At 48.4% G+C, this 19,117-nt stretch overlaps 2 protein-coding genes across 3 annotated transcripts in view, besides 7 other annotated features; one reads left to right on the top strand and one right to left on the bottom strand.

Annotated features, from left to right (window-relative positions):
* Positions 398–1,351: an enhancer, noted in NCBI's record as "H3K27ac-H3K4me1 hESC enhancer chr10:99447089-99448042 (GRCh37/hg19 assembly coordinates)". NCBI's record gives its function as "activates a minimal SCP1, AML or CMV promoter by ChIP-STARR-seq in primed H9 embryonic stem cells {active_cell/tissue: H9 hESC(primed)}" and the evidence as "EXISTENCE:reporter gene assay evidence [ECO:0000049][PMID:30033119]".
* Positions 398–2,305: a biological region, named in NCBI's record as "BRD4-independent group 4 enhancer GRCh37_chr10:99446822-99448021".
* Positions 419–1,618: an enhancer, noted in NCBI's record as "BRD4-independent group 4 enhancer chr10:99446822-99448021 (GRCh37/hg19 assembly coordinates)". NCBI's record gives its function as "activates an origin of replication core promoter dependent on BRD2, P300/CBP, MED14 and CDK7 cofactors, and independent of BRD4, by STARR-seq in HCT116 cells {active_cell/tissue: HCT116}" and the evidence as "EXISTENCE:reporter gene assay evidence [ECO:0000049][PMID:35650434]".
* Positions 1,076–1,455: a silencer, noted in NCBI's record as "silent region_2684". NCBI's record gives its function as "represses an Ori minimal core promoter by ATAC-STARR-seq in GM12878 lymphoblastoid cells {active_cell/tissue: GM12878}" and the evidence as "EXISTENCE:reporter gene assay evidence [ECO:0000049][PMID:35858748]".
* Positions 1,352–2,305: an enhancer, noted in NCBI's record as "H3K27ac-H3K4me1 hESC enhancer chr10:99446135-99447088 (GRCh37/hg19 assembly coordinates)". NCBI's record gives its function as "activates a minimal SCP1, AML or CMV promoter by ChIP-STARR-seq in naive H9 embryonic stem cells {active_cell/tissue: H9 hESC(naive)}" and the evidence as "EXISTENCE:reporter gene assay evidence [ECO:0000049][PMID:30033119]".
* Positions 1,442–11,259, top strand: AVPI1 (arginine vasopressin induced 1). 2 transcript variants are annotated; one of them, XM_017016494.2, is made up of 3 exons: positions 1,442–1,917; positions 8,770–9,064; positions 10,658–11,259. In XM_017016494.2, the coding sequence occupies exons 2-3, from the start codon at positions 8,778–8,780 to the stop codon at positions 10,812–10,814; spliced, it is 444 nt and encodes a 147-aa protein (XP_016871983.1). In that variant the 5' UTR covers positions 1,442–1,917; positions 8,770–8,777; the 3' UTR covers positions 10,815–11,259. The 2 variants fall into 2 exon arrangements, with proteins under 2 accessions (XP_016871983.1, NP_068378.2); NM_021732.3 differs by having other exon boundaries at positions 8,768–9,064.
* Positions 11,519–11,588: an enhancer, noted in NCBI's record as "active region_3857". NCBI's record gives its function as "activates an Ori minimal core promoter by ATAC-STARR-seq in GM12878 lymphoblastoid cells {active_cell/tissue: GM12878}" and the evidence as "EXISTENCE:reporter gene assay evidence [ECO:0000049][PMID:35858748]".
* PI4K2A (phosphatidylinositol 4-kinase type 2 alpha) overlaps positions 12,249–19,117 on the bottom strand; it is a 35,764-nt gene continuing 28,895 nt past the window's right edge. The window contains exon 9 of the mRNA NM_018425.4: positions 12,249–15,102. Within this exon, the coding sequence (NP_060895.1) occupies positions 14,941–15,102 (162 nt within the window). The 3' untranslated portion in view covers positions 12,249–14,940. The remainder of the gene's footprint in view (positions 15,103–19,117) is intronic.
* Positions 12,406–12,905: an enhancer, noted in NCBI's record as "H3K27ac hESC enhancer chr10:99435535-99436034 (GRCh37/hg19 assembly coordinates)". NCBI's record gives its function as "activates a minimal SCP1, AML or CMV promoter by ChIP-STARR-seq in primed H9 embryonic stem cells {active_cell/tissue: H9 hESC(primed)}" and the evidence as "EXISTENCE:reporter gene assay evidence [ECO:0000049][PMID:30033119]".

Here is a 19,117-nt window from a genome sequence, read left to right as displayed (position 1 = left end):
CCCCTTCCCACCCACAACTTTTACAGAAGAAAAATCAAGCTTAAATGGATAAGAGGTCAGCTATGAAGTAAAAAGGAAGTCAGGGAGACCCAGGAGCCTTTCCTGAGCATTGCTGAACAAGTGCACAAACACTTCATCTTCCAAGGACAAAACAAGCATTTATCAGAGGCCTACTGGACACCCTGCCTCCACTCCTGCCCCCTCCAATCCAAGTTCCAAACTGCAGCCAGAGTGACCTTCTAAAAACACAAACTTGTCATGATGATGAAATTTGCAAAGTGCTGACTGACACTACTGGTACGTGGTAAGTACTATAAAATGCCCGTTACATAAACACAGTACATATAATGCCATTCCTTGTTTAAACCCCTCCAAGGATCACATGCAACCTTCTCTGCCTGCCTCTGCCTTCTACTTCCCACCGTGCTCTCTCTTGCTAGCCTTACTCCGGGTCGCATTTAATTCCTCCGGAGCCAAGCTACCTCCTGGCCCAACCAAATGCCTTTCCCTCTTTCCTTAAAGCAGTCTCCCCAGATCCACTCCTCTTCATTTGACCAGTTTCAACTCCTTCTTTATATCTCAGCTTAAATGCTGCTTCTTCAGCCCTCCTGAACCTCCCAGAGGAAGCTTAGGTTCCTCCATATTTATCCTCTTATAGCCATAACATTGATCACAACTGTAATCACATACTCCATGTTTTAGGTTGTTTAATGCCTGCCTCCCTTACTAGGCTGTAGACTCCCCAGGACAAGGGCTATAGGTCTTTCCGTCTCTCTTGTTTACGGCCTATCAAGGAACTCGGACAGCATAGGTCACTAATGAACATTTCCGAATGCATACAAACTTTAAAATACGGTCTTGTTTAGGTAACCGGCCCAAAGTCGCACAAATGACCCAATATTTGAACCCACGACATTCTGGCTTTGAAGCCCAAGGTCTGACTCCAGCAGACTGCCCCCTCCTCTCCCTCAAAGCCGGAGCCAAACGGTGGGCTGGGAGGGGACTTGAGCGGCAGAGTCTGAGGATCTGCAGAGGGCCACGCGCTGCAAGGCAGTCAGTGCCGCGCGCGCTGGCCTCGGGCCCAGGAGAAGGGGCATCCGTCACGTGTACCCGGCAGGGCCAGCTTTCGCCGCACCCTGGGGCAGGAATGCAGCCCCGCCCAGCTCCCGCGCCAGCAAAACCGCGCTGGCCCTGGGGACTGACGTCAATGAAGGGGGCGCCTCGGGCGCCGCGCGGGGGCGGAGAGGGCGGTGGGCAGGGCCCGGGCAGACACGCCCCCTCACCGCCGCTCCGCCGCCGATTAGGTTTGAGGAAGCTTCGCACTCCGCTTTCGAGGCCAGCGGAGGCGGGGGGCGGGGATGGACACGCCCCCTCCCTGTCTCCCACCGATGATTGGCGCACGGAACTCCGCCTTGGGTTTGGAAGGCTCGCCTGGGAGCTCATACCTGGCTAGGGCCGAGGATTGGCTGTTCCGGGGCTAGGGAGCGCTTTCTCCCGGGAACCGCGGCTGTGACCCAAGTGGCCCGGACCAGTTTGGGGCTGCGTGCGGCCTGCCTCAAGCAACCAGGTACGTAGGTCGGCGGCCCAGCTCGGCGCTGCGGTGGGAGCCGGAGGGCGACAGTCAGAGCCGGGGTGCCAGCGGGACGCGACCGCCAGATCCACTTAGGACCCCGTCGTTCTGCGAAGCGGCCACGTCTGAGTCCCGGGGCCTCCTCGTGCTGCAGATGTCGCCTTAGGACCTCGGCCAGGATACCCTCTGCCATGCTCTTGTGCTGCCCGTGATCACCGACTGGCCCTTGTAAGCACCTTCGCAGAGCTGCGCCTGCCCTTTCTGAAGGCTGTGGAAGAGGTTGGAGTGGGCGCATCTTAGCTTGCCCCATCCCCATTTGAGGTCTGTCGGAGCTGCCCTTCAGTGTGGTGAGTACCTGCTCCAATTCTCCACCGGGCAGTGGAGTGCAGAGGGTACAGAGGCTAGCTTGGGAGTCCTGACTTTGGATCCCTCCCTGCTCCTTCCACAATCTACAGAAGCAGATAGCCTCCGAAAGGCTTCTGGGACCGACCTTCCCCAGAAGACCTCCTCAGCCATCTGGCAGGAACAAAAATAACAGTGGCTTGAGAGCCCGGGTGCTGGGGTCAGACTGCCTGGGTTCATGTCCCAGCTTCCATCACCTGCCAGCTGTGTGACTTTGGGTGTAGCTTTCTCATCTGTAAAATGGGTATAACAATAGTGCCACCTTAAGTGAGGAGGAAAGAAAGCACCCATCTGAACGTGCTCTGTTCTGCGCTTGACACTGAACAAGCTGCCTCTATGATTTTAATCATAAAGCTATGATTTAAAAGTACACAGATTTGTTGATGGCTGTGATGATGAAAATGACAATGATTCTATAGCCCCTGGTAGTCAAACAGCCTTTCCCTTCATCATTTATTCATTCAACCAGCATGCATAGAATGTCTGTGGTATACCAGGTACTAGAAGGAATGCCGTCACAAACTTAATCTCCCTTTTCCTGTTAAGAGTTATTTATACTCACCATTTATTTTAAAAAGCTTATTTAAAATTTTATAGAGGCAGTCTTGCTATGTTGACCAGGCTGGTCTGGAACTCCTGGGCTCAAGCAATCCTCCCACCTCAGCCTCCCAAAGTGCTGGGATTACAGGCGTGAGCCACCAGGCCTGGCCTTATACTATTTTGATGACGAGCAACTTGTGGCAGGGGAAACTGAGACTTATCCAAGGTCACCCAGTTAGCAGCACAGCCAGAATTCAGGGTTCTAGAAATCTTGAAAGGGTTATCCCTAGATCTAGTAGCAGTTTATTTCCAGGTCATATATGAGAACTGGTCTGGGGAAAGGGCCCAGTTCCTTTCTCCACCTCCAGGGGCATGGATTTGGAGGCCAATGTATATCCAGTTGTCTCGGCATACCTCCCTGAGGCTAGGCCCTGCTGGTGGGGAAGCCCACACAGCGATTTGAACTGGGCTTCCCATTTGAGGAGCCACAGATTTTGGCTGCTGTCCAGTGGCATGTCTGTATAGGATAGCAGGCCAGGGTCCCAAGTGTTGATTCAGGCCTTGGGCCAGAGCCTCCAGTAATTTTTCTAAGAGCCCCTAGGCCCCTGATTACAGAGATTATTGCTATCACCTGGGTTATTGGAAGGGGGCCTCCTCCTGCATGAGGACCTAGGAGTTGCCAGCTCACCCAAATGTGTTCTGCCTCTGGTGGTTACCTGTGCCTCCCTGGGACTGCAGTGAGATACTCTCCTAGAATAGCTGTCTGAACTGAACTTCATATATTGCAAAGAGTGCTCAATTGCGCGCCATATTTATATATTGCAAATTCATTGCATGGTGAGTCACTTTTTAAATATATTTCTTTGTTAGGGTTCCACAGTTCTTCACTTATTGCCTGTTTCAAAACAAGTTGAACTTTGTCATTTTCAATGTTTGGTATTTCCTTTGGGGTTCACTTTCAACCTAGTTTGTGTCAAATTGAAGTATTTTGCAATTGGTCTTTACTCGTTTGTACACAGACCCATACTTACCTTCTTTTATGTCAGTTCTGAAATGAAAGGTCCATTTGTAATCTTTTAATAGCCCCATGGTTTCATTTTCTAGTTTTCAAAAGTACTATTGTGCAAGTATACACTGACTTTTCCTGGACTAAGGTCTTCTCCAGGAAATTGGAGGGAAAATAACTATTGAACACATGGAATGAGACAGGAAAAGTTTCCTTTGATAATAAAAGTGTTCTGATTCGACATTTCATCGGTTTTCCCAAAACTTAACCATCTAATCCTACCTGGAATCAGCCTAGTTTTATTCCCAGCCTCACTCTGCTGTCTGAATCCCAGAATAAGAGACAGAGCCAAGAGTGAGGGGCTTGGCCGGTCATGGTGGCTCACGCCTATAATCCCAACACTCTGGGAGGATGAGGTGGGTGGATCACTTGAGGTCGGGAGTTCAAGACCAGCCTGGCCAACATGGTGAAACCTTGTCTCTACTAAAAATACAAAAATTAGTCGGGCGTGTGGTGGGCACCTGTAATCCCAGCTACTTGGGAGGTTGTTGAGGCAAGAAAATTGCTTGAACCTTGGAGGCAGAGGTTGCAGTGAGCTGAGATTGCGCCACTGCACTCCAGCGTGGGTGACAGAGTGAGACTCCGCCTCAAAAAAAAAAAAAAAAAAGAGTAAAAAGAGTGAGGGGCCTCAAAATCTGGAGGTGCTAGGCCCTCCCTAAGGTTCAAGGAGGGTTGAGGCTGGAGGCTCAGACTCTCCCTGAGGGTTTCTTGGTATGTTTGTGACTCGCAGCTCGCTGAAGCTGTGGAGTCAAAGCCTTGCCATCCTGGGAGAGGTTGTTGGGAAGTCAGGCTCCAAGCCATTTCCTCCCCGAGGCAGCTGCTGCTACATGATCCTTATTGCCCTTCTTTTCCTGGGGAGGTGAGGCCAGATATCACCCTTTCTCCTACTACCCCAGACCTGCCTAGGCGTCTGCCCCGGGCTTGGTCATTGCCAGCTGAGGTCACTAGGGAGCTTTAGAGCTGTGAGTTCTGTTTTCTACCAGATGCTAACCCCAGGGCCCACTGCAGCAAAACAACATAGAGTAGGGAGGAGAAAGGGAGCTACTGGCTGGGGAATTTCCTAGCACCCAGTTAGCCAGACCTGTCCACACATTGCCCCTAGGCTTTGGCAGACAAGTAGCTCCGTTCCTCCTTCTGTACAGACTTACCTGCGGGTGGAATTGTTGACTCTCAGCACTGGTGCAGGCCCTCAGAAACAAACAGCATCAAGCTGTTCTTATAGCAGTAACAGGGAAGCTGACCCACAGAGGGGATGTGAATTGCCTGAGGTTTTTCAGCCAGTGAGTGGCAGAAGTAGGGCTTGAACCGACTCCTCTGACTCGTAAGCCAGGGCTCTGTGCACTGGGCTGGGTTGCAGTTCTTGATTTCTTCTGTGGAAGCTGGGCTCTTCCTCTTTAGAGTGCTACGGCTCAAGGCTGGGCTGTCACCCAGGAAAGAGCCCTGACCCTAGAGAACAGACTAACGAAATTCCACAGCTCCACCCCTGCCTCCACCAGGTGGGATAATTCATTGTCCTTCCCTTTCCATTGGTAGGATTTCCCCTTCATGAATTAGGTGGGAATAGGAAAGCATTCTTCATAGAAATGTGAAGTGTTCTTTAAGCTGCCTGGCTGTGAAGCCAGCTCGGGGGTTTAAAAGCGTGGGCTGACCGGGCGCAGTGGCTCACACCTGTAATCACAACACTTTGGGAGGCCAAGGCGGGTGGATCACCTGAGGTCAGGAGTTCAAGACCAGCCTGACCAACATGGTGAAACCCTGTCTTTACTAAAAATACAAAAAATTAGTCGGGAGTGGTGGGGGACGCCTGTAATCCCAGCTATTCGGGAGGCTGAGGCAGGAGAATCACTTGAACTCAGGAGGTAGAGGTTGCAGTGAGCTGAGATTGCAACACTGCACTCCAACCTGGACAACAAGAGCAAAACTCACTCTCAAAAAAAAAATAAAAATAAAAGCATGGGCTGCAGTCATTTGAACCACCTCTGGCCTCGGCTAAGCCACTGGTACTCATATTTGCATCTTAGCTTCCCTTTACTTCCCTGTGAAATGGGATAACAGTCCCTAACTCCTAGAATTGTTTTGAGGATTAAAGGATATCATACGTATTGCCTGATCCAGAGTAAATATCCCATAGTTAGCTTTTCTTTTTATCAGCCTAAAAGTGTTACTTGGCGACTGTTGTCTTCTTGTCACAGTGTGTTTATGTCATCCAGCTCTGGGGGCTTAATTACCATATAGATTAGGTTTTAACTGGATTTTCATAATAGCACCTAAGGAGAGGCAGATTTTTAAATTTCCATTTTCCAAATAAAATACAATTTTCATGACGTTAACTCATCTGGAAGTCTTCTGCAGCTTTATTGTAGTTGTTAAATCTTTTGAAAACAGGGTGGAGTTTTTATGATAGAAGGCCTGGAAACTGGGACAGAGTGAGCATAGAAATGATTGGGATAATGAGGGTGACTATTGAGGTGAGGAGCGGAGAAGGCCAGGGCAAGGGGGGGAGTCATATTTTGGGAGTATGAGTGGGGCGGAGACAATTCAAACTCTTACAGAGAACAAAAGGCAGGTTAGGGGAAGGGTTACTTCTGCAAGTGGGTTGATAGGAAATTGGAAAAGTTTTTATATATAAGCTTTTGTACTGTTTGCCTCTTATGATGAGCATGTAAATATTTTAATTTAAAAATATTTTAATGTTCCTTTTCCCCTTTTGGAAGCTGGTTGCTGTTGACAGCTGTCTCTGTAGCTGGCTGTGGAATGAGGTCTGACTTAGGCAACCAGGCCCTGGAGAAGCAGCAGGACCTGCTCCTCCTCTCCCCAGCAGGCCTGGGGCTGGGAGAGATGGGTGGGAGCACAGGCCTGTCATCAGCTGGCTGTGCCACACAGCTTAGAGGAAAGAGGAGGGTTTACCTGTACCCCTGACCCAGGTACAAAGGTCACAGAGGCCAACAGAGGAGGATTTGCGTTTATAAATTCCTCAGTATCCATGGAGGGTGGTTCCAGGCTCCTCCGTGGGACGCTTAAGTCACTTACATAAAATGCCATGTTGGCCTATAGACTGCGCACATCCTCCTGCATGCTTTAAATCATCTCTAGGGTACTTATAATACCTAATACAATGTGAATGTTTTGTAGTTACAATGTATCTATTTTTTATTTGTATTTTTTAATTGTTGTATCATTGTATTCTTTTTTTCTTTTTTTTTTTTTTTTCTTTTTTTTTGAGACGGAGTCTCGCTCTGTCGCCCAGGCCGGACTGCGGACTGCAGTGGCGCAATCTCGGCTCACTGCAAGCTCCGCTTCCCGGGTTCACGCCATTCTCCTGCCTCAGCCTCCCGAGTAGCTGGGACTACAGGCGCCCGCCACCGCGCCCGGCTAATTTTTTGTATTTTTTAGTAGAGACGGGGTTTCACCTTGTTAGCCAGGATGGTCTCTATCTCCTGACCTCATGATCCACCCACCTCGGCCTCCCAAAGTGCTGGATTACAGGCGTGAGCCACCGCGCCCGGCCGTATTCTTTTTTTTAAGACGGAGTTTTGCTCTTGTTGCCCAGGCTGGAGTGCAATGGCGGGATCTCGGCTCACCGCAACCTCTGCCTCCTGGGTTCAAGTGATTCTCCTGCCTCAGCCTCCCGAGTAGCTGGGATTACAGGCATGCGCCACCACGCCCGGCTACTTTTGTATTTTTAGTAGAGACGGAGTTTCTCAATGTTGGTCAGGCTGGTCTTGAACTCCTGACCTCAGGTGATCCGCCCGCCTCACCTCCCAAAGTGCTGGGATTACAGGTGTGAGCCACCACGCCCAGCCATATCATTGTATTCTTAAATTTTTTATTTATCCTCTTATTGGGTAACTGATATAATTTTATTTAGCTCTTATTGGGTAACTGATATACTGGGCTCATTTATCCTTACTATAACCCTAAGAAGTGGGTAATCTTATCCCCATTTGACAGTTAAGGAAACAGGCTCAGAGACGAGGTTGGGTAACTTGCTTAAGGTGTCAGAGTTGGAACTCAAAACCTGTTCTATGTAATGCCAGGCTTCCCTTGTTTCCAGGCTGTGCTGGAGACAAGGATGGGTGGGTAAGCTTCTTAGGCCTTTATTATTCAAAGTGAACTATCTAGAATCAAGGGAGATCCTTTAATTTTCACTTCCTGGATATGATGGGAGACATTGACACAGAGTCTAACTTCTATTGAACTTTCTTATAAGTTTCAGTCTCTGCCCTTGACAGTATATTCTAACCCTTGTAGCCTCCTCTTCTGCCTCCACCTCTTGCTCATTAGGTCCACTGGACTGTGGTTAGATCTGATTGGCTCATTTCATACTATGTTTGCTAAATTATACAGATTTGGTTCATCCCCAGGGTCTTAAAGATAGGAGGTGGGATGATGTCTCAATTTTATAGATTGAAAACACTGACCACTATTCTATATACTTTGTCTTCCTTCAATCTTCAAATTAATCCTACAAAGTAGGTAGTAGTACTAGGTGATAATTTGACACGGGAGGCAGCTGAGGCAGGGGGGATGCCCAGCCAGTAAGTGGTGGAGGGGGTAGAAGTGGGATTCCAACTCGGGTAGCCCAGCTCCACAACTCCTCTCTTACCTTTGTGCTACGGCACCTGGGCCTTAGCATCAGAGAGGCCTGGGTTCTCATCCTAGTTGCAGAACCATGGATGACTTAACCTTTCCTCAGATTCCTCATCTGTGAAATGAGGAGGATTAAAATACCTACCTTACAGGGCTGTTGTGCTTGTTACATCTCATTGATACTATGTGAAGCAAGCTGTTACAGGTGCCTGGTATAAGTACTCAACACAGTTGAGCTGCTACTGGGCATCCTGGCGTCTGCATGGAATCTACAGCTAGACAGACCTGGGTTCAACTGCTGGCTCTGCATGTGCACGTGGCTTTGTGACGCTGGCAAGTCATTTAACCCCTCTGAGTTGCACTTCTTCATCGGTAAAATGAGGATAAACAATAATTCTTACCTCATGGGTTGCTTTGAATCCTAAATGAGATAATATGGGGGTCTGACACATAAGTGCTTAAGTGATTTTAAGGCAGGAGACTTCCTCCAGTTTAGCTCTTGGAGAATGGAAACATCAGAAGCCCTAGGATTAGCCAGGACCCCCAGGTCTGGGAAGGACCAGCTGAGTTGATGATGTCTCCATGCTTTGCATCCTCAGAGCATCCACAATGGGTACCCCAGCCTCGGTGGTCAGTGAGCCACCCCCTTGGCAGGCCCCGATTGAGGCCCGGGGCCGCAAGCAGGCCTCGGCCAACATCTTCCAGGACGCCGAGCTGCTGCAGATCCAAGCCCTGTTTCAACGCAGCGGGGACCAGCTGGCCGAGGAACGGGCACAGATCATCTGGGAATGTGCAGGGGACCACCGTGTGGCTGAGGCCCTCAAGAGGCTGCGCAGGAAGAGGCCCCCAAGGCAGAAACCCCTGGGCCACTCGCTACACCACTGCAGCCGCCTCAGGTAGGTTCCTAGAACCGGATGGCTGAGGGAAGAGCACTAATGCCTGTTCCACCACTGCATGGCTGTGTGGCCTGGAGCTAGTTACTTGGCCTCACTGTAAAGTGCCTGCCCACCATTGGGGTGGTTATAAGGTCTACACAGTGTCACCACTTGGTTGGCACTTAAGAGATTGCTGTTGGTGGGTGCAGTGGCTCATCCCTGTAATCCCAGCACTTTGGGAGGCCGAGGCAGGCAGATCACTAGGTCAGGAGTTTGAGACCAGCCTGACCAACATGGTGAAACCCTGTCTCTACTAAAATTACAAAAATTAGCTGGGTGTGGTGGCACACACCTGTAATCCCAGCTACTCAGCAGGGTGAGGCAGGAGAGTCACTTGAATCTGGGAGGTGGAGGTTGCAGTGAGCTGAGATGACGCCACCGCACTCCAGCCAGCCTGGGTGACAGAGCGAGACTCTGTCTCAAAAAAAAAAAAAAAAAGATTGCTGTTACTTTTGGAGTCATATACAACCCTGTGAACTCCCATGGAAAGAGATGCCTGAGTCCTAGTAGCATCACCTCATTCTGCCGTTATTCTCAGCTTACCAGCCTGGGCAACATGGCGAGATCCTGTCTCTGAAAACACACACACACACACACACACACACACACACACACACACACACACACACACACACACACACACACACACACACACACACACACACACACACACACACACACACACACACACACACACACCCTCCCCCCGCCAAAAAAAAGAGAAATTAGCCAGGCATGGTGGCATGCACCTGCGGTCCCAGCTACTCCAGGGGCTGAGGTAGGAGGATCACTTGAGGCCAGGAGTTTGAGGCTGCAGTAAGCTATGATCCTGTCACTGCACTCCAGCCTGAGTGACCTGAGTGACAGAGTGAGATTCTCTTTTTTTTTTTTTTTTAAGCCTAATTAAAATCTTGGCTGGGGGATTACAGAGAATATAGCCTAGGAATGTACTGTCGAGGCATTATGGGTTAAAAATTGTTGAAAACTTTTACCTTGAGATCTCTCCCCAGTCTCCCTGGTGGGCCACTTCTTTGCCTAGGCCACTGCCAGCCCAGGAAGAGTGAACCCAAAGGGATGGAGCTGAACCACTTGGCCTCAACCAATCACTATGGGTGATGCTCTGGGCTTCATCTCTCTGCTGCCTTCTCTGGGGCCCACAATCAGAACATCAGACCTAAACAGGCCTTTGGAGGTCATCAGGTCCTGAGATGGCAAGTCAGTGTCATAGCTTGTATTTAACTCCAGTTAATTAGTAGTCACTGCTTATCAAACCAGTTTAATAGCATGACTTATGACATCTGCCATGAGTACAGGATGAGGATGAAGAAATGTTGAGTTTTGCACAACCTGATCTGGTCCAACCCTTTCTACTGCAGAGAAATCTGTAAACTTTGTCTAGTCAGACAGTTCTCAGAGGGGGAAAGACCAGAGCAGAGCCCCGCTCTCATTTTGCTCCAAATCATATGTTTTATGGTCCACCATGACGAAATCTCTTGAAGTCCCCATTCCATTCTTCCTATTGATGTTGGCTAATCATACACTTGTTCTCTGCAGAATCCTGGAGCCCCACTCTGCACTGGCCAACCCACAGAGTGCCACAGAGACAGCCTCCAGTGAGCAGTATCTGCACTCTAGGAAGAAAAGTGCCAGGATCCGCCGGAACTGGAGGAAGTCAGGCCCCACAAGCTACCTCCACCAGATCAGACACTGATCCAGGGAAAGAGCCAGGAATGGCAGTGTCTTCCCTCTTGCCAAAAGGCCTGGGGAGGTGAAGGAAGAGAGACTTTAGGCAAGCAGCCCAAAGGGGTAAATGAAAGCAAGAGGCTGCTGCCACTGACCTGCTCCATTCAGAACAAGACTGGATGCTTCTGTTGAGCTCTCCATTATGTGGGACCCATTCCTCACCAAAATGAGGAGAGACAGTGACTGTTCCTGCCACAGTCCTTCCCAGTCTAACACTATTCCTGGGCTGCATGATATTCCCCTGGGAGCAAAGTGACAGGCACTTAGATGCAGCATTTCACCACTCATGCTACTAATCATCTACCTGCTACTACTGTAAACCATGGTTCCAGCAGCCTGTTCCACACCCCCACACCATCAGGATAGCACAGGGAAACTGTAGTTTAAGTGGCAAATAAAAACATTTGCATCAAGAGCTGTGTGAGTCTGTCACAGAAGGGGAGGAAATGAAACAGAGTGGGAGGGGCAAGAGTGTCCCCAGGAAGGAAAAATCAGGGCTGGCCTCCTCTCTCCTTTTCACCTCCCTCTCCTTTTTCACCCCCATGCTGAGCCCCTGGACCACAGCCTCCTTTTCCAGAGTCTGTTGGATCGGGAGTAAAGAGGGGAGTCTCTGCAGCAGTCCTGATCCATAGGATCAGGAGAAGGGGGAAGACTGTCATGGTCAGCCCAGCACAGTAGGCTGAGGCCTTGGGCTGGCTTAATCTGTAGTCAAACTAGTGGTGCCAGATCCTCATTTGGTTTCTTCATCCTTATGGGCTGACCATCCCAAGGTGGACTGATGATTCTGAAGTTGCCTGCGTTATATCCTAGGCTTCCCATGGCCTGGAAACCCTTGAAGGCAGGGTTTTTCCCACAGTTCTGGCTCCACCTCAAGAGAGGCATACTCTGTGCTTATTAGCTTTCTTCTCCCTCTCCACCCACCCTATATGCTTGATTATTCAGGGTTTGAAGTGGGGCAGTGATGTACACAGGGCAGGGCTGCCCTCTGGTGGCCAAGAGGAGGAACCACTACTACCTTGAGTCAGGTAGGTCCTCTTTTTTATTTTATTGTTTATTTATTTATTTATTTATTTTTATTTACTGAGAGACAAAGTCTTACTCCAGGCTGGAATGCAGTGGTGCAATCTCGGCTCAGTGCAACCTCCAACTCCCGGGTTCAAGTGATTCTCCTGCCTCAGCCTCCCAAGTAGCTGGGATTACAGGCGTGTGCCACCACACCCAGCTAATTTTTGTATTTTTAGTAGAGACGAGGTTTCGCCATGTTGGCCAGGCTGGTCTCAAACTCCTGACCTCAAGCAATTCACCCACCTCAGCCTCCCAAAGTGCTGGGATTACTGGTGTGAGTCACTGCACCCAGCCTGTAGGTCCACATTTCTTATCCCAAGCCCTTGGCACTAGATTATTTTGGAATTCAGATTTTTTATTTTTGGCTCTTAGGAAGTAGTCAGCAAATACTGTATAATCCCTAGTAGGGAACCATGTCATAAAATATATTGACATTTCTGCAACAAAGAATCACACTAAAAGGAACACATCATAATTACCCATAGCTTCCTATCAGTGTAAGTTCAGGTCAGGTTTGGTTTCAAATGGGTTATGAAAATACTTTTGGTTTTCAGAGCATTGGGACTTTGGAAATGAGGACCTGGATCATCCTTTATTAGGGAGAAATAGCCCCAGGAGCCACGTCTCAGCAATTCCATGGAAACACAGGTTTCTTTGCCCTCAAAATTCCGTTCCTACCTTCTTTGTCTTCCTTCCCCCAAAGAAACTGGACAAAAAAGGTCAGAACTGTATTTGTTATTCATACATTTGCGTTGATTTAAATACATTACGTACAATTTCTACATTGGATTAGAAGAATGACACAGGGGGCAGCAACACTCTCGCAGCCCAGCCTCCATTCCCTGACACTGGAGGCAGGGCCTATGGCTGGCAGAGGGACGGTGTTCCATGAGTGCCACTCAGAAGCCTCCCCCGGCATTCTGGGCCCCTGGCTCTTCCAGAGTCCACATTCAAGGCAACCTGAGCACAGGCTTGAGGGAGAGTGGAGAAAGGCCAGGAAAGGATGCCCACACTCTTGCCTGCCAGGCCCAGGACCAGCTCTCTCCTACACTGGACCCAATTTCCTTCTGATCACAGAGCTGGTCTGGATCAAGACAATGTGGAGATCTGGTGTGGAGGCTGTGGCCAGGTGAGGCAGCCGGGCTCCCTGTTAGACCCCCAGGCTCTCTTGAGCACCAGATGGGCACTTTACCAACAGGTTTGGGTAAAAATGTCTACAGAGAGCTATGCACACCTGGGTCCCCTTCTGGCTCCTACAGTCAAGGGGCAAGTGTTCTCTCGAACATTGTTCCCAAGGCCAGTGTCCGAGTCAGCTGCATGTGATTGTCGGGGCTGGGATTGGGGCAGGCAGGCGAGCTGTACCTTCGTCCACAGGGCATGCACATCCAGCTCTCAGAAATTCTTCCTGTCAGCCAGGTGGAAGCCCGGGACAAGTGGACTCTTGGTGGCTGGACTGGAAGGGGACCGGCGGGGACCAGCCTGGACCAGCTGACCAGAGGGCTGCACATCTCTGCTCTGCAGCCGGGCAAGCAGAGGACATGCAGCCATAGTCCTCACTCCCTTTCTTTGGTTGTTTTTCAAACCTTCAAGATAGTTACTTTCTGAGGTTGACTGACCAATCGCAAGGTGCCAGAATTGTGAAATGTCCAGTAGCACAGGGCATGAACACAGCTGCCCCTCCAGACACAGATGGCACCCTTTTTACTCCCTCCTGAGGCCGTACTTTGCTTTGGTGTAGAAATGGCTCAAACACCTGGCAAGTGGGGGTGGGGAGTGAGGCAGCAGGGGAAAAGACACATGGAAGCAAGAAGATACGCACTGAGCTGCGCAGGACCTGGGACAGTTTGAAGGCCTCTCTCCTTTGGGCCTCACCTTTCTCAGGGAAGCCATAGAGAAATCGGCCTAGGACAAGTCAGAGAGAAAAGGGAAACTGCCACTTATGAGGCAGAATCCACGTCCTGTTACTTCCACCAAGCAGCAGCGGTAGCACAGAAAAAAGTCCAAGAACCTAATAGCCTGTCCTCTTGGAAGCCAAGACTCATCCCAGAGCCCTTGCAGAGACCCACTCCCGAAGACAAACTGAACTCTTACATCAAAAGAGTTGGGGGGAAAAAATTTAAAACGAGAGGAACAAATGAGAAGATTGGGACCAAGGACTCAGGAAGCAAGGTGGGATATGTTCACCCATAGACCACTTAGCTCCCGGCATACACTCCGGCTGCGTGGATCACTTTTACATGCTGGGAGTCAACTTCCTATTAAAATATAAATGCTAAGACTAGCTCTTCCTGCCTCTGCTTGAGAAACAGACAAGCTGTAGGCCAGCAGAGAGCAGAGAGGTTCTCTATGATTGTGTGCGGAAGTGCTGGCGGGGGTAAAGCAAAAACCTCCCTTCCAGGAGAACTGTTTCGAGGCTTGCAGCCAGCCCACAGCACTGATGGGAGATGGAGGAGGCTTGGCAAAAACCCAAAAGAAAGGTGTGGCTTCTGTCTGTCCCAGTGCTGTGGTACTGCGAGTCATCCAGTTGCCCTCTGACACCACCTTGGCTCATGGGAGGAAGCAACTGCAAGGCAGCTGAATGTCAGGTCTATGCAAATTTAGGCCTGGATTAAAGGTTTCTGACATGAGATGACCCGGGGTTCTGCTACAAGCATTTAAAGTTGTTTTTGTTTTGTTTGTTTTTCTGATGCAGAATATAATAGGGAATTGCAATAGAGCAGGGTTTCAGGGAAGGAAGGGACTGTCCCAGCCTGCTACCAGCAGATGCTGGAAGGGAGATGTTCCTTCCCAGGCATCTGGACTACGTGCATGGAGCTCCAGCCTCCCCCACATCAGAAGGGCGAGGAGCACTCACTGTTCCTGATTGTGCTTCTCCCTGTGGGTGGAAAGCTCTGAGCAGGGTGGCAAGCAGAGAGAGAGGGCTCTTAAAGGTGCTGCTCTCCACCGGCTTCTCTGGCTTTTCCTGCACCCCACTCCCCAGGCTTCCTCCCACCAGTCTCTGACAATATTTCCTCTGCCTGCCTCTGGAGCTACCACCATGAAAAGAAGGGCTTCCGGCTCTGAAAGCTCTGTGTGTAGGACTCGCTAGAAGACCGCTGGTGGGAACGGGCCGTCTCGACAATCACAGGTGGCATCTGGACGAGGTGCAGGGGACTCTTGTTGTCTTTCAAGGCCTGGGTCAGATTTAAGATCTGCAGTGGGAAAAAGGAGATGGGTGAGGGAGAGGCCTCAGCATTCCAGATCTGCCTCTGAAAGGAGATCAGTAGAGAGGACGCCTACAAATCAATTTTTTAAAATACCAATGGAAAATCATGCAAATAGGCCATTTACAAAAGTAAAAATTAGCAAAACAGAAAATGGAAACCTCTCTAATCATTTAAAAAATACAAATGAAAACAAATCCTTTATTTTTTTGCCCTCCAGTTAGTAAAGATACAAAAGAACGACGCAGAGTTGGGGAGAATTCAAAAAAATAAATACTTGCCAGGCACGCTGGCTCACGCCTGTAATCCCAGCACTTTGGGAGGCTGAGGCAGGTAGATCACTTGAGGTCAGGAGTTTCAGACGAGCCTGGCCAACATGGCGAAACCCCATCTCTACTAAAAATACCAAAAAAAATTAGCCGACCGTGGTGGCACACGCCTGTAGTCCCAACTACTGGGGAGGCTGAGGCAGGAGAATTGCTCGAACCCGGGAGGCGGAGGTTGCAGTGAGCCGAGATCGTGCCACTGCACTCCAGCCTGGGTAACAGAGTGAGAGACTCCATCTCAAAAAACAAAAAGAAAAAAAAAAAACACAAAAAACACTTAAAAATGAACAGATCCTAACCTGGCCAACATGGTGAAACTCTGTATCTACTAAAAATACAAAAAAATTAGCCAGGTGGGGTGGTGCACACCTGTAATCCCAGCTGCTTGGGAGGCTGGGCATAAGAATCACTTGAACCTGGGAGGTGGAGGTTGCAGTGAGCTGAGATCATGTCACCGTACTCCAGCCTGGGCAACAGAGCAAGACCCTGTCTCAAAAAAAAAAAAAAAAAAAAAAAAGAACAGACCCTCTGACTCGGCAATTCCATTTTTAAGAAACACTAATGGATATGCATAAAACATTTAGTTCCAAAAACAAATGTAATATTGTTTATAACAGTGAAAAGATGTAAACTAGTTAATACTTGAAGGGATAAGAAACAATTATCCTAAAATATATAGAAATTTAACCAGGGAACTATCAAATATATATATAAATGTATTGGCAAAGAAGCGATCACAATGTTGTGTTAGATGCAAAGGAAAGCAGAAAAGGAACCAGTGTTAGATTGTGACCCCACTTTTACTTTCTAAATTCTATCTTTCTATCTAACTATAGTGTAGAAAAAAGTCTGGCAGTTGGCAGTGGTCATCTCTGGGTCTCAAGAAATTATAGGTGGTTTTGGTCCGGGCGTAGTGGCTCATGTCTGTAATCCCAGCACTTTGGGAGGCCGAGGTGGGCAGATCACGAGGTCAGGAGTTCAAGTCCAGCCTGGCCAACATGGTAAAACCCCATATCTACTAAAAATACAAAAATTAGCCAGGCATGGTGGCGCATGCCTGTAATCCCAGCTACTTGGGAGGCTGAGGCAGGAGAATCGCTTGAACCCAGGAGGTGGAGGTTGCAGTGAGCCAAGACTGCGCCACTGCACTCCAGCCTGGCAAGAGAGCGAGACTCCATCTCAAAAAAAAAAAAGAAAGAAATTATAGGTGGTTTTAATTATTTATTGTTGTTCATCCCTATTTTATGATTTTCCTACAAAGATGATATAAATGTAAAATGTAAAAAGCTGGCTGGGCGTGGTAGCTCATGCCTGTAATCCTAGCACTTTGGGAGGCCGAAGTGGGCGGGTCACCTGAGGTCAGGAGTTTGAGATCAGCCTGTCTCTACAAAAATACAAAAATTTTGAGAAACCCCATCTCTACAAAAATACAAAAATTAGCTGGGCATGATGGCGAGTGCCTGTAATCCCAGCTACTGGGGAGGCTGAGGAGGGAGAATCACGTGAACCCGGGAGGCGGAGGTTTCAGTGAGGTGAGATTGTGCCATTGCACTCCAGTCTAAGCAAATGAGCAAGACTCCATCTCAAAAAAACAAACAAACAAACAAACAAAAAGTAAAAAGCCAACATTTTATTTGGATTCTCCTTCTAACACTATCTCTTCATCACCTTTTTTTTTAAATAAATGTTTTACTTTGGAATAATTTTAAATTTAGAGAAAAGTTGCAGATTGTACAAAGAGTTCCTATATAGCATTTGCCCAGTTTCCCCTAATTTTTTTTTTTCTTTTCTGAGACAGGGTCTCACTCTGTCACCCAAGCTGGAGTACAGTGACACATTCATAGCTCACTGCACCCTCCAACTTCTGGCCTCAAATGACCCTCCCAATTTGGCCTCCCAAAGTGTTGGGATAACAGGCATGAGCCACTGAGTCCAGTCCTCACCATCTTTTGTCAGTATTTTACAGGTATTTCAGTTATGTGTCCATGAGGACACAGTTTCTCCTCTTTGTCAAAATTAGTATCACCACCATTTATCTTCTCTGGTAGGAGAGTACAAAAGCTGAAGGTGTCCTGTCTTCTCTCTCTCTCTCTTTTTTTTTTTCTGAGACGGAGTTTCGCTCTTCTTGCCCAGGCTGGAGTGCAACGGCACAATCTCGGCTCACAGCAACCTTCACCTCCTGGGTTCAAGCGATTCTCCTGCCTCAGCCTCCCGAGTAGCTGGGATTACAGGCATGCACCACCACACCCAGCTAATTTTGTATTTTTAGTAGAGATGGGGTTTCTCCATGCTGGTCAGTCTGGTCTCGAACTCCCAACCTCAGGTGATCCACCCGCCTCGGCCTCCCAAAGTGCTCGGATTACAGGCATGAGCCACCACGCCTGGCCCTATCTTCTTTAAAACACTAGATGTTGAAGATTTCATGGCCAGGTCACAGAACATGGAGGGGTAAGCTAGGCTGCACCCTGAAATCACACAGACACACAGCCCTCAAGCCACAAATATCCTCTTACACAACTGCTGCCTATAAAGGAGCAGAGATACAACTGCAACAGGGGTCATTTGTTACCCTATTGGTAACAAATTTCTTTTTTACTTAATTGTTTTGGTACTTGCCAGCATCCTACACTGTTCCAAATAGTCTGAAGCACAATATTGGGGTGAAGAACTAAAAGGAGATTGCGGGAGTATCTGGGGTAAACATGTCAAATTGTCTACTACTTATTTTCAAAAGATTTGGCAAAAAAGAATATCTAGGGAGAGAAATTAAATAGATATTATTCAGATACATCACTGGATAATACGTAGACATATGAGATAAATGTGGTTAAATATAACAACTGAAGAATCTAGAAGATCCCATTCTTTCAACTTTACTGAGGTTTGAAAATTTCCAAATTAAAAAGCTGAAGATAAGCCTGGAACCAGGACTGAAAAGAAAGGAGAATAAAGAATTTAAAAAGAAAAATTATTTTTTAAATTTGAAGAAAAATTATAGCAGTCACATAATACTAAAGAATAAATACTATCTTTGAAAATGTTGGGCTGGATGTGGTGGCACATGCCTATAATTTCAGCACCTTGGGAGGCCAAGGCAGGAGGATCGCTTGAGGCCAGGAGTTTGAGACCAGCCTGGGCAACATAGCGAGACCCCACCTCTTAAAAAAAATTACCCAGAAATGGTGGTGCATGCCTGTGGTCCCAGCTACTCAGGAGGCTGAGGGGGGAGGACTTCTTGAACCTAGGAGTTCAAAGCTGCAGTGGTCTACAATTGGGCCACTGCACTCCAGCCTAGGTGACAGAGCATGACCCTGTCTTTAAAAAAAAGAAAAGAAAAAGAAAATGTTACAGAGGCTTTCTCTCAGACCCTAGATTCTTTAACTCCCGGTGAGAAGCCTTTAAGTTGAGTAACAACTTCTATCACCTGACTGTGTCCCTGTGGGGCCTCTTCACTCTTTCCCTACATCTCAGGGCCCTTGTACTACAGCCCATCCTGCAATAATGGCTCAGCTATGTAGACAGGGTTATGACCTCTTTTCTCTGTGCTTTGTCAGATTTCTGTAGTGCAGAAATTTTGTAGTGCACACATTTTGCTTTGATGTGTGAATGGTAGACAAGTAAGCACATGAGTGATATACTGGCCATGTACATGTTGGAAGGAGCTGGATGGTCACCCT

Source organism: Homo sapiens, chromosome 10, assembly GCF_000001405.40.
Source record: "Homo sapiens chromosome 10, GRCh38.p14 Primary Assembly".
In the NCBI taxonomy this organism is placed as follows: Eukaryota; Metazoa; Chordata; class Mammalia; order Primates; family Hominidae; genus Homo; species Homo sapiens.
The sequence above is the reverse complement of the archived record's forward strand: the minus strand, read 5'-3'. Positions and strand labels throughout refer to the sequence as shown.